The sequence below is a fragment of the Homo sapiens genome, chromosome 12 (genome assembly GCF_000001405.40).
Source record: "Homo sapiens chromosome 12, GRCh38.p14 Primary Assembly".
Classification (NCBI taxonomy): Eukaryota; Metazoa; Chordata; class Mammalia; order Primates; family Hominidae; genus Homo; species Homo sapiens.
Window position 1 is genome coordinate 12,251,136 of NC_000012.12, and position 13,463 is coordinate 12,264,598.

Genomic DNA, 13,463 nt, shown 5'->3' on the forward strand with positions numbered 1-13,463 from the left:
TTAGCCAGGCTGGTCTTAAACTGCTGACCTCAAGTGATTCGCCCACCTCGGCCTCCGAAGTGCTGGGATTACAGGCGTGAGCCACCGTGCCCAGCCAAAGCCGGCTAAGATTTGACGGGTTTATTTGTAAGATGTTTTTAAGTGCTTATCAAATATTATAGTTACGTAAAACTAGATTTTAGTTTTCTCTGTTAAAATGACGGATTTTCTTCAGTTATTAGTTTGTCTTTTTGATTTTTGTTTTTTGAGATGGAGTCTCACTCTGTCACCCAGGCTGGAGAGCAGTGGTGGGATCTCAGCTCACTGCAAGCACCACCTCCCGGGTTCATGCCATTCTCCTGCCTCAGCCTCCCGAGTAGCTGGGACTACAGGTGCCCGCCACCACGCACGGCTAATTTTTTTTGCATTTTTTTTAGTAGAGACAGGGTTTCACCATGTTAGCCAGGATGGTCTCGATCTCCTGACCTTGTGATCCACCCACCTCGACCTCCCAAAGTGTTGGAATTACAGGCATGAGCCACGGTGCCCCGCCCATTAGTCTGCTTTTAATAAAGAAGTTATTAAAGGTTTTCCTTTGCCTTCTGAATAATCTCCACAGAAGGCAAAGATTGTGTCTTACCAGAATTTCCTGTGCTTAATGCTGACTTTATCATGTCCTTAATTACTTAAAACTGTATTCACACCCTTAAAAGGGTAAGGTTCTTCACCACTGCATTACCTCCCATGCTTACTTTTTTCAATATTTTTTTTAAGAGACAGGGTCTCACCCTGTTGTCCAGGCTGGAGTATAGTGGCACAATCATGGCTCATTGCAACGGCACAATCATAGCTCACTGCAGCTTCAAACTCCTGGGCTCAAACGATCCTCCTGCCTCAGCCTCCTGAGGAGCTAGAACTATAGGCATGAAATCTTTCGCCCAGCTAATTTCTGTAGAGACAGGATCCCACCACGTTGCCCAGGCTGGTCTCAAACTCCTGACCTCAAGTGATCCTCCCATCTTGGCCTCCCAAAGCACTGAGATTACAGGCATGGGCCACCGCACTGAACTAAAATCTTTTTTTTTTTCCGGTCACTTTTGGTTAAATATGTAGCCAAGTATTTTTTTCCACAGTGGCCCATGATCCTATTTAATCAAATGTTCAAACCTCCTAAATGATGCCTTTTGTACCAACAACTGTCTTTGAGATTTCCCCTAAGGGGCCCTAGAAAATCAAAATTCCCTTTACCTTGTAAAAGAGAGATGTTAAAAATAATAGTTTATTTGATCAAACGTTATGGGTCATATGGAAAGCACTGTCAAAGCCAGAGAGGCTTACCCTCCCTAAGTTTAAGTTAAATTTGTATAGGTAAAATGTTATTAATAGGGATATTTTGGAAGTTCTATGAAGGTATAAAGCTCCTAGAAATTCATCAATGCCCTCATTGTCCATGTCTATTAATCAGAGTTCTGGTGCTGCTTTGCCTGGTATTAGACAACAGTATAATGTCATCAGTCATAATTTCAGGGATTTTTTTTCCTCAATGTTAACTTGGTCATAATTTGGCTTCTTTAATCTTCTAGGTTGGCTAATGGTTCTCAGTTAAGAATTCACATCATTTACTTATGGAATGCTATTATATAGAAGTTAACGACCTACTCCAGACTGCTAAATCTTTTTCCTTGATAATCTTGATACATTCTTGATATACTCTATACATATATACATTCTTGATATACTCTTGACATATTCATGGTCCATTACATCTTAGGATTATATGTCTTTAGATTTTCTCTCTGCAATGAATATATTCATCTATATTCATAAATGACATGTACTAGCCACTCTTCTTTAAAATAAGGTTAATCGGCTGGGCGCAGTTGCTCACACCTTAATCCCAGCACTTTGGGGGGCTGATGCAGGTTGATCACCTGAGGTGAGGAGTTTGAGACCAGCCTGGCCAACATGGCGAAACCCTGTCTCTACCAAAAATATAAAAATTAGCAGGGCGTGGTGGCGCGTGCCTGTAATCCCAGCTACCCAGGAGGCTGAGGCAGGAGAATCACTGGAACCCAGAAGGCAGAGGTTGTGGTGGGCCAAGATCGCGCCACTGAACTCCAGCCTGGGCAACACAGCGAGACTCTGTCTCAAAAAATAATAATAAAATAAAGTTAATCATTACGCTTATAGATATGCTTTTGTCTAACACTTTTTTGGGTTGATTTTAGTTCGCATGCCACAAAAATCAAACTTCCTTGCCAATTTCATTATCTTTTCTAACAAAGTTTCATAAGATCTTTCACTTTTTTTCTTTTTTTTTATTATTATACTTTAAGTTCTAGGGTACATGTGCACAACGTGCAGGTTTGTTACATATGTATACATGTGCCATGTTGGTGTGCTGCACCCATTAACTGGTCATTTACATTAGGTGTATCTCCTAATGCTACCCCTCCCCCCTCCCCCCACCCCACAACAGGACCTGGTGTGTGATGTTCCCCTTCCTGTGTCCAAGTGTTCTCACTGTTTAATTTCCACCTATGAGTGAGACATGCGGTGTTTGGTTTTTCGTCCTTGCAATAGGAGATCTTTCACTTTTAAGATTATCAGTAATAGGTTAATCATCACCGTTTTAAGTATTTTGTCATCTACAGATAGTTTTCTGTTTTACTCTAATGCTTCCCTGAAAGCACTTGCAAATCAGCTACAGGCCAGAGTGCACTTGTCTTCAATAAAAAAGGGCTATGGGCCAGGTGTGGTGGCTCACGCCTCTAATCCCCACACTTTGGGAAGCTGAGGTGGGCATATCACTGGAGCCCAAGAGTTCGAGACCAGCCTGGGCAACTTGGCGAAACCCCTTCTCTACCAAAAAATACAAAATTAGCTGGGTATGGTCGCACACACCTGTGGTCGCAGCTACTAGGGAGGCTGAGATGGGAGGATCACTTGAGCCCAGGAGGTCAAGGCTGCAGTGAGCCAAGATTGTGCCATTGCACTCCAGCCTGGGTGACAGAGTGAGACTCTGTCTCAAAAAAAAAAAAAAAAAAAAAAGAAAGAAAGAAAAAGGAAAACTACTACGCCAGGTAACCTGAACACAAGCGTCTGATGGCATCACTTAAATAACTCTGAGACCACACCAGTGGACTGAGTCAAGATTTCCAAACAGCTAGTAGAAAAACAGATGGGTTCGTGAGACTGCTAACACAGATCCAGCAGAACAAGAATTAATTACATAGGACTGAATAAACTGATGAAGGATGATTATGGGTTTCGTTTAAAATATTGCTGATGCCTTAGCGTCCTATTTTCTGGATATAAGGAACCCCTTTCTCTTTTCTCTGAAGCTATCTATAACTCACAACAATTTAAGGAGACTATGTTTTTGTAAACCGAAATAAACACTTATCTTTTTCTCCCCCGTCTTACTCCTCCAGAATTCAAAAACTCTTATTATTTTTATTTTCATGGCAATATAGTTATCTGCAGAGGTTCAATGAGTCTGCCTTCTAGCTGGAAACATTACTTATGCAACCAAGGCTTTGACTGGAATGCCACATTTGAAAATATTCATTTAATCAGGTATGACCAAATACTTCTAAGTTACAGTTGACTTTATGAACCAACGCTTACAGTCCTCTTAGGAAAACTGGCCTGGTAACTGGCTTACAGAGTTCCCAGCCTTGCAGGTGAATTAAGCAAGATCACTTCCCGGCAGGCTCAAAAATCCTAGAATATTTTGGGAACTTCAAGACAGGAATTCACCCAAATTTATAGGTATTACAAGTGAAACCTGATGGTCAGTTCTTGACTTACCTTTATAGTCTCAAGAGGCATTTTAAAGTCCAATCAGATTCCTTAAAAAAACTTTCAGCAAGGCAATATTAAAAGACCTATTATATGATAAATTACTATTATTGCTACACCTATGTAAATAATCAGGCCCAATCTAATGAGATCAACTTCTCAATGACTCTTATTCCATTGTCAACAGTGACTGATTTTGTTTTAAACAACAGGGAGACTGACCAGTGCACATCACAATTGCCCATTACTTACTCATTGACTTGGCTTGAATAAACTTTAGTCAGGATTCTCTTCTCCCCACAAATTCCTAAACTTTGGCTTGCCCTAAGCTTAAGAAAGTAGATGCACAACTTCTTCCCTCATTCTGACCATTAGCTGACTGCAGAAAAAAAAAAAAATGCTTTCCAGTTAAATAGTCCTGGTCATGCAATCTGCTCACCCCTACCTATTTGGCCCACATTCCCACAAAGTTCCTGATAGCCCTGCTTACTTCTCCTTTCTATAAAAAAAAAAAAAGCCTTTTTCGGTTTGATTTTGAAGTGTGTTGCAGATCCTGTAGTAAGCATGTCCTTCTACTGCAAAAATCCTTTCAAATAAAGTCTCTCCTTACCTAAGTCTAGCTTTGTTTTTGCTTTTGGGTTTGGTCACTTTTTTTTTTTTTTTTTTTTTTGAGACAGAGTCTCACTCTGCCATCCAGGCTGGAGTGCAGTGGTGCGATCTCATCTCACTGCAACCTCCACCTCCCAGGTTCAAGCGATTCTCCCTCCTCAGCCTCTCAAGCAGCTGGGATTATAGGCACCACCATGCCTGGCTAATTTTTTTGGATTTTTTTTGTAGAGATGAGGTTTCACTGTGTTGTCCAGGCTGGTCTCAAACTCCTAAGCTCAAGCGATCCTCTGCCACGGCCTTCCAAAGTGCTGGGATTACAGGTGTGAGCCACTGCACCTTGGCCTCAGCTTTGTTTTTATTTACAGTATAAGTACTATGACAAACTACCTATTTGCAAATGCCAAATTTTACATTAATATGTATTTCCCTCTATCAAAGTCATCAGCATCTCTTTCAAAACCACAAGAAGGCCCAGGTAAAATAAGGTACATACAGAAAGTCCTGCACGTAAAATTACTGTCCAGAGTACAAACAATCTGGCTTTAGTCATTCATCTTTCTGATTTATAAAACGAAGGAGTTGGCCCAGGTAATTTCTAATACCTCTTCTATTTTCTTACTCTAGATATGAATTTAGTAAAAAGATTTAACTGCAACAGGACGATTGACAGGGCTATTCAGAAACACGAGATACTGGTAAACTATTTAGTGCTTCTCCAGCAGAAAAACAGGAACTTAAAATATTTTTTAGGCCAGGCGCGGTGGCTCATGCCTGTAATCCCAGCACTCTGGGAGGCAGAGGCGGGTGTATCACCGAGCCCAGGAGTTCAAGGCCAGCCTGAGCAACATGGTGAAACCCCATCTCTATAAAAAATACAAAAACTTAGTTGGAAGGATCACCGGAGCCTGGGAAGGTCCAGGCTGCAGTGAGCAATGATCGCGCCACTGCACTCCAGCCTGGGTGACAGAGACACCAGCTCAAAACAAACAAACAAACATAGGCCAGAGTGGTGGCTCATGCCTGTAATCCCAGCACTTTGGGAGCCAAGGCAGGCAGATCACTTGAGGTCAGGAGGTCAAGACCAGCCTGACCAACATAGCCAAACCCCCTCTCTACTAAAAATACAAAAATTAGCCAGCATGGTGGCACACGCCTGTAGTCCCAGCTACTCAGGAGGCTGAGGCATGAGAATCACTTGAACCCAGGAGGCAGAGGTTGCAGTGAGCAGAGATTGTGCCACTGCACTCCTCCTTGGGTGATGAAGCAAGACTCTGTTTCAAAAAAAACAGATTTTTTTAACGTATCAAAAGCTGAGATTCAGAAATAATTTCTCAAGGTAAAGACTCCAATAATCAAACCCACACTCATTTGAAAGTATTTAATATATCCATACAATGGATTACTCAGCCATTAAAAGGAATGAAGTACTGACACATGCAACATGAATGAACCCTGAAAATGCTAAGTGATAGAAGCTAGACACAAAAGGCCACATATTTTATTCCATTTATATGAAATATTCAGAGTAAGCAAATCCATAGAGACAGAAAGTAAATTCATGGTTACCAGAGGCTGAGGGAAGGGAGAAATGGGAAATGTATGGGTTTTGAGGGAGCAGGGGATGATAAGCGTTCTGGAATGAGATAGTGGTGATGTTTTACAACCCTGTGAGTATACTAAAAGCCACCGAACTAGACATTGTAAAATGGAGATTTTTACTGTATGTGAATTATAGCTCCAAAAAACTTGGTTTAAAAAAGTACTTGACAGGCCGGGTGCGGTGGCTCACGCCTGTAATCCCAGCACTTTGGGAGGCCGAGGCGGGTGGATCACGAGGTCAGGAGATCAGACCATCCTGGCTAACACGGTAAAACCCCGTCTCTACTAAAAAAATACAAAAAAAATTAGCTGGGCGTGGTGGTGGGCGCCTGTAGTCCCAGCTACTTGGGAAGCTGAGGCGGGAGAATGGCATGAATCTGGGAGGCGGAGCTTGCAGTGAGCCGAGATCACGCCACTGCACTCCAGCCTGGGCGACAGAGCAAGACTCCCTCTCAAGGAAAAAAAAAAAAAAAAGTACTTGATAGAAAGGGCTTAATGAAAAAAAAAAAAGAAAGAAAGAAAAAAGTACTTGAGGCCAGGCATGGTGGCTCATGCCTGTAATCGCAAGCACTTTGGGAAACCAAGGCAGGAGGATCACTTGAGCCCAGGAATTCGAGACCAGTCTGAGCAACATAGTAAGACCCTGTCTCTACAAAAAAAAAAAAAAAAAAAAAAAAAAAAAAATTAAAAATGAGCCGGGCGTGGTAGCACGTGCCTATAGTCCCAGCTACTCTGGAAGCTGAGGCAGGAGGATCGCCTGAGACCAGGAGGTCCAGGCTGCAGTGAGCCATGATAGCATCACACCACACTCCAGCCTAGGAAACACAGTGAGACCCTGTCTCAAAAAAAAAAAAAAAACTAATTATATCAGTGCAATAGTTATATCCTAAAACCAGAAAACACGTTACATAGTCCACACCTTGAATTCAATCTCAGATATGAATATGCTGATTTTTTAGTAGTCTATTTAACATATCTAATCTATGCTAAGAAATCTTTATTTATTTATTTTGAAAGACAGGGTTTTGTCTGTGATATGGAGTGCAGTGGCATGATCATGGCTCACTGTAGCCTTGAGTTCCTGGGCTCAAGTGATCCTCCTGCCTCAGCCTTCTAAGCAGCTGAAACTACAGGCATGTGCCATCGTGACCAGATAATTTTTTAATTTTTTATAGATGTTTCCCAGGCTGGTCTTGAACTCCTGACCTCAAGTGATCCTCTCGCCTTGGCCTCCTAAAGAGATGGGATTACAGGTGTGAGCCACCATGACCCAGACTAAGAAATCTTTGTAATCGTTACAAATTTATAATTTAACTATAGCTAATGAACGATTGAGTCAAAACACAAAATGGCATTCCAAATAAATGTCATAAAAATTCACATCTTTTTATATTACTTTAAATGTAAAATTTACAGTGCTCAATATGTGCAAACCTCTGGTACATGGTGCATATAAAGGGGAAAAAGGTCTACTCTTCAAAAACTTTTCATCAAAGAGCTATTTCTGCATTAGCATAAATCTAGAAGGTTACAAATAAAGACAATATAATGTGTAGCTAAGAATTCATGGTAATGAAGTTCACTCGTCACCTTTCTCAGACTTGCAAAACATAGTATCTTTAAACTGGATATATGGATATACAGTACTTAAATTATACGTACCAATAAAGCTAATCATTAGTGAGGAAGACTCCTATCCCTTGCAGTCCTTTACTTGTAGTTTGGGTCTTGTAGTGATAAAACAATGACTAAGACCATTAGAGAAAATAGCCTCCTGGTTAAACATACATAATTTGATAAAGGTAGGTTTCCAATATTTGGGTGACTATTTTCTTGGGAAAAAAAAAATGACAGCTGTGTGCAGCAGGCTCACGCCTGTAAGCCCAGCACTTTGGAAGGCCAAAGCGGGTGGACCACCTGAGGTCAGGAGTTCGAGACCAGCCTGGCCAACATGGTGAAACCCCATCTCTACTAAAAACACAAAAATTAGGTAGGCATGATAGTGGGCGCCTACTAATCCCAGCTACTTGGGAGGCTGAGACAGGAGAATCACTTGAACCCAGGAGGCAGATGTCACAGTGAGCCAAGATCATGGCACGGCACTCCAGCCTGGGTGACAGAGCGAGACTCCATCTCAAAAAAAAAAAAAAAAAAAGACTACTGCTGGTCATGTTATTTTTATTGAGAGTCTCATCAATAACTTTAGGCCTGGTGTTAATAACTTACATAACTTAATGTAGTTTTCTGCCTAAAAATATAATTTCATTTTGCATCCCCAATCTCCTCCTGAAATTAGTTCCAAAATATTTAAGCACTTATACAAGGTCCTTCCAAGCAAGATATTACAGAAACTACAAGTTATGATACCGCTAAAAGGATCACAGCATCAAAGTATCAATAATTTTCACCGAAGAGTCCAAGCACATTTTAAAAGTTTCTAGCCTCACACCCGAACAGCTTGAACCTTTAGTGAGAATACTCACTGCCGCAAACACGAACAGCTTGAGAAACAAAAGCATATGTTAATAATACCAAATAACCTTGTTTCCTTGCATTTATGTACTGACAAATTGTATTTTAAAATAAATAATTTTAAGAGCAAACAGCCTGTTCTTAGATTGCCTAGTCTGTATATTTGACTAAATTTCAAAGTTACTCATATAAAACAGTGTTTTATTCACTGAAGTGAGGCTTACTTTATAGAAGATAAACACCCTTATCCGAAGTGAAAACATGCAATGCAGAAACTCAGTATAGCATTCAGCCATCCTGCAGAAAGAAATCCACCAACTGAATAATTGTTGTAAACAAATAATGCAATTTCTCAATTAGATGTCTTGATAAAATTATTTTGCCCATGCTTAACTCTTTAATAAGTATCACAATCATTTGAACTGTCTGTTCTGTAGCTTATTTATAATAATCATCACCTAAAATAGTTATGGCTGCAATCCTTTAGAAATAAATTTAGGCCAGGCGCGGTGGTTCACGCCTGTAATCCCAGCACTTTGGGAGGCCGAGGCGGCTGGATCACCAGGTCAGGAGATGGAGACCAACCTGGCTAACATGGTGAAACCCCGTCTCCACTAAAATACAAAAAAAATTAGCCGGGCGTGTTGGCGGGGCCTGCAGTCCCAGCTACTCGGGAGGCTGAGGCAGGAGAATGGCGTGAACCCGGGGGGCGGAGCTTGCAGTGAGCCGAGATTACGCCACTGCACTCCAGCCTGGGCGACTGAGCAAGACTCCGTCTCAAAAAAAAAAAAAAGAAAAAAAATTTAGTGTCATTCCGTTTTATATCAAACAAAACAGAAATTTCCATAAGTAAAAGTATTTTATGGAGCTTTTATTCCAGTTGCAGAAGAATCAAAAAAAATTCCAAAACCACTGGCCTAAAACTATCAACTGCCAAAAACAGTGCCCAGGACATAGCGACACTTAAAATGTTTTACCAGTCTTTCCAGAGTATAATGTTTCTTTTAATTCGGCCATCTTAATAATAGCAACCATTTATTCAATGTCTACTATTGACTGTGCGTTCTACTACCCCTTTACAAACATTTCGTCAGTTCTCACAGAAGTCTTGCAAGTTATATCCCCACCTAACAGGAAAGGAAATAACTTGTCCAAAGGAACACAAAGCGGCAGAAGAGTTTAACTTGGCCTGTTTAACAACAAGCCATGTCTTTCTGCTATAGTACCTTCCATATAATCTTCTCTAAATGTAAACTTTCAATAGAATTTCTACGATGAAAATAATCTTTCTCAGAGTAGTTACCCATGGCCTAAATAGCACTAAACATTATTTTTCCAGTATGCGCAAAATATTTAAACAAAAAATATACGTTCTCATAAAATATTTTCCATTAATATATCCCTTCCCAGAATCTCCTTTGATATTTAAAACAGTCCTTTCTGACAGCCAAAGCATATATAAGGACACAGTAGTTCAGTACAGCAAATGGAAAAACTTCCAATTAAAGCAAAGAAAAAAATCTCTTAAAAATTGAATCATGGCCGGGCGCGGTGGCTCACGCCTGTAATCCCAACAGTTTGGGAGGCCGAGGCGGGCGGATCACGAGATCAGGAGATCGAGACCATCCTGGCTAACACGGTGAAACCCCATCTCTACTAAAAATACAAAAAATTAATCGGGCGTGGTGGCGGGCGCCTATAGGCTGAGGCAGGAGAATGGCGTGAACCCGGGAGGCGGAGCTTGTAGTGAGCTGAGATCACGCCGCTGCACTCCAGCCTGGGCGACAGAGCAAGACTCCGTCTCAAAAAAAAAAAAAAAAATTGAACCACAGGAAATCACTATTAGCCCTTCTGATAATAACAAGCTAAAACCTTAAAATTTAATAACCAGACAAATTATTGTTTAGCCAAATGAGCAAACCTGAAGCCAGGTAAGTAAACAGGAATGACAGTATCAAATTAACTATATGAAACTGTCATCAAATATCAATGTAATACTTGACAAGTTTGGAAAATAATAGGTTAAACAAAGTTAAAACCGGTCTCTTTACCTCAGGACTTTTCAGAACCCTTAATGTGTTAACATGAATTCTAATCTCCAAATAAAGTGTACAGAGATCACTCAAGGTTACACAGCAAATTTAGAACCATAACTTAATTCTCCTGATTGCCACTCCAAAATTTGTTCTACTTCCCCAAGACTTTATAACACCTGATTTTAAAGGAAGAAAGGATCGCTTCTACAGAAATACAAGATGCAAAACATTAGTGGTTTGTTCCAACAATATTTACCAGCCCACCAAAACAAAAAAAAGTAACGAAGAATTTTTATATAACAAGCCTCCTCAAAAAAAGCTAAAAAGGCCAGGCGCGGTGGCTCACGCCTGTAATCCCAACACTTTGGGAGGCAGAGGTGGGTGGATCACCTGAGGTCAGGAGTTCGAGACCAGCCTGACCAATATGGTGAAACCCCATCTCTACTAAAAATACAAAAATTAGGCCGGGCACAGTGGCTCACACCTGTAATCCCAGCACTTTGGGAGGTCAAGGCAGGTGGATAACTTGAGGTCAGGAGTTCAAGATCATCCTGACCAATATGGTGAAAGCCCGTCTCTACTAAAAATATAAAAATTATCCGGGCATGGTGGTGTGAGCCTGTGGTCCCAGCTACTCAGGAGGCTGAAACAGGAGAATTGCTTGAACCCAGGAGGGAGAGGTTGCAGTGAGCTGAGATCATGCCACTGCACTCCAGCCTGGGCGACAGGGTGAGATACCGTCTCAAAAACCAAAAAAATACAAAAATACAAAAATAAGTCAGGCATGGTGGCAGGCACCTGTAGTCTCAGCTACTCAGGAGGCTGAGACAGGAGAATCGCTTGAACCAAGGAGGCAGAGATTGCAGTGAGCCAAGATCGCGGCACTGCACTTCAGCCTGAGCGACAGAGCGAGACTCCGTCTCAAAAAAAAAAAAAAAAGCAAGCTAAGAAATAGTATTTCACAGATTACACACACCGATGGTATTCCAAAACCTATATTCTTATCAAAAATACTTCCAGCAGAAGATCAGATATTATTTTTTCTCATCAGTATCCGAATGGAACTAAGAAAATGGTAAGGATGGCAACCTAAACTGTGAGGCCCGTTAGATTAGGAAACACATTGTTTTACTCACCATCAGTACCAGAGGCTGACATATAGGAGGTATTCCATACATATTTGCTAAAAGAATGAATAATAAATCCCTGCCCCATCTTTAATTAACCTACCTTTATTAAATTACAGTATCTCTGAATCTGAGTTTCCCCACTTACAAATAAACTGGTGAGGCTCAAACGACCAAGATCCCTTTCACTTTTAAGAATGTGTGAATCTGGGCCAGGCGTGGTGGCTCACACCTGTAATCCCAGCACTTTGGGAGGCCGAGATGGGCAGATCACCTGAGGTCGGGAGTTCGAGACCAGCCTGACCAACAAGGAGAAACCCCATCTCTACTAAAAATACAAAAAAAAAAAAAAAATTAGCTGGGCATGGTGGTGCATGCCTGTAATTCCAGCTACTCAGGAGGTTGAGGTAGGAGTATCGCTTGAACCCGGGAGGCGGAGGTTGCAGTGAGCCGAGATCATGCCATTGCACTCTAGCCTGAGCAACAAGAGCGAAACTCTGTCTTTAAAAAAAAAAAAAGAATGTGTGAATCTGGCCGGGCGTGGTGGCTCACGCCTGTAATTCCAGGACTTTGGGAGGCCGAGGTGGGCGGATCACGAGGTCAGGAGATGGAGACCATCCTGGCTAACACAGTGAAACCCCGTCTCTACTAAAAAATACAAAAAAATGAGTCCCAGCTACTCAGGAGGCTGAGGCAGGAGAAAGGCGTGAACCCGGCAGGCAGAGCTTGCAGTGAGCGGAGATCACACCAATGCACTCCAGCCTGGGCAACAGAGCAAGAATCCGTCTCAAAAAAAAAAAAAAGAATGTGTGAATCTGCACCTGTAATCCCAGAACTCCGAGAGGCGGAGGTGGGAGGATCACTTGAGCCCAGGAGTTTAAGACCATCCTGGGCAACATAGCAAAACTCTGGCTCTATAAAAATTAGCCAAGTGTTATGGCACACAACTGTGGTCCCAGCTACTTGGGAGGCTGAGGTGGGAAGATCACATGAACACAGGAGGTCCAGGCTGCAGTGAGCAGCGATCATGCCACTGCACTCCAGCCTAGGCAACAGAGCAAGACCCTACCTCCAAAAAAAAAATAGGAATTCGTGAACCTGGCCAAGCATGGTGGCTCACACCTGTAACCTGTAATCCCAGCACTTTGAGAGGATCACTTGAGGCCAGGAGTTGGAGACCAGCCTGGGCAACATATCAAGACACCCCCACACCAACCCCATATCTACAAAAAATTGGGGGCATAGTGGCACGTGCCTATAGTTCAGAGCTTTGGGAGGATGAAGCAGGAGGATCACTTAAGCCCAAGACTTTGAGACTGCAATGAGCTGTGATTACACCACTGCACCCCAGACTGAGTGATGAAGCAAGACTTTGTCTCTTTAAAAAAAAAAAAATTGTGAACGTTATACAAATTAAATCTCAAATCATGAAAGCATTTGAGGATATGTCCCTGAACAAGCAAAAATTATAGCAAAAAGTAACATTAACAAGGTACTCCATATTATTTCATTTAAAACACCCAATAACCCTGCAAACTAGTCAGGTATCATTATCCACACTACCAGTAAAGAAACTGAGACCTAGAGAAGCGGACTAGACCAGAACCACAAAGTTATGAAGTTGTGACACTTGGGCTTTAAATCCAAGATTTTAGTATTGAAATTCCCAAATCTTTCCTTTATACCTTGTCATGTGATGATAGAGATAGGGACACAGCACTAACAGTATTCCCTGGCTTTCTGCTACTAATTCAACAGGGCTACAGGACAGAAGGTCTCCCAGACTCTCACATACCCCATCACACCCAGCCAATGTTAAAGCCCCAATTCTTTGTGG

At 41.7% G+C, this 13,463-nt stretch overlaps 1 protein-coding gene across 15 annotated transcripts in view, besides 1 other annotated feature; it reads right to left on the minus strand.

The window, feature by feature from the left end:
• The window catches only part of LRP6 (LDL receptor related protein 6), a 151,020-nt gene that overhangs the window by 135,111 nt on the left and 2,446 nt on the right, over nucleotides 1-13,463 (minus strand). The window lies entirely within an intron of this gene.
• Nucleotides 12,239-12,739: an enhancer, noted in NCBI's record as "H3K4me1 hESC enhancer chr12:12416308-12416808 (GRCh37/hg19 assembly coordinates)". NCBI's record gives its function as "activates a minimal SCP1, AML or CMV promoter by ChIP-STARR-seq in primed H9 embryonic stem cells {active_cell/tissue: H9 hESC(primed)}" and the evidence as "EXISTENCE:reporter gene assay evidence [ECO:0000049][PMID:30033119]".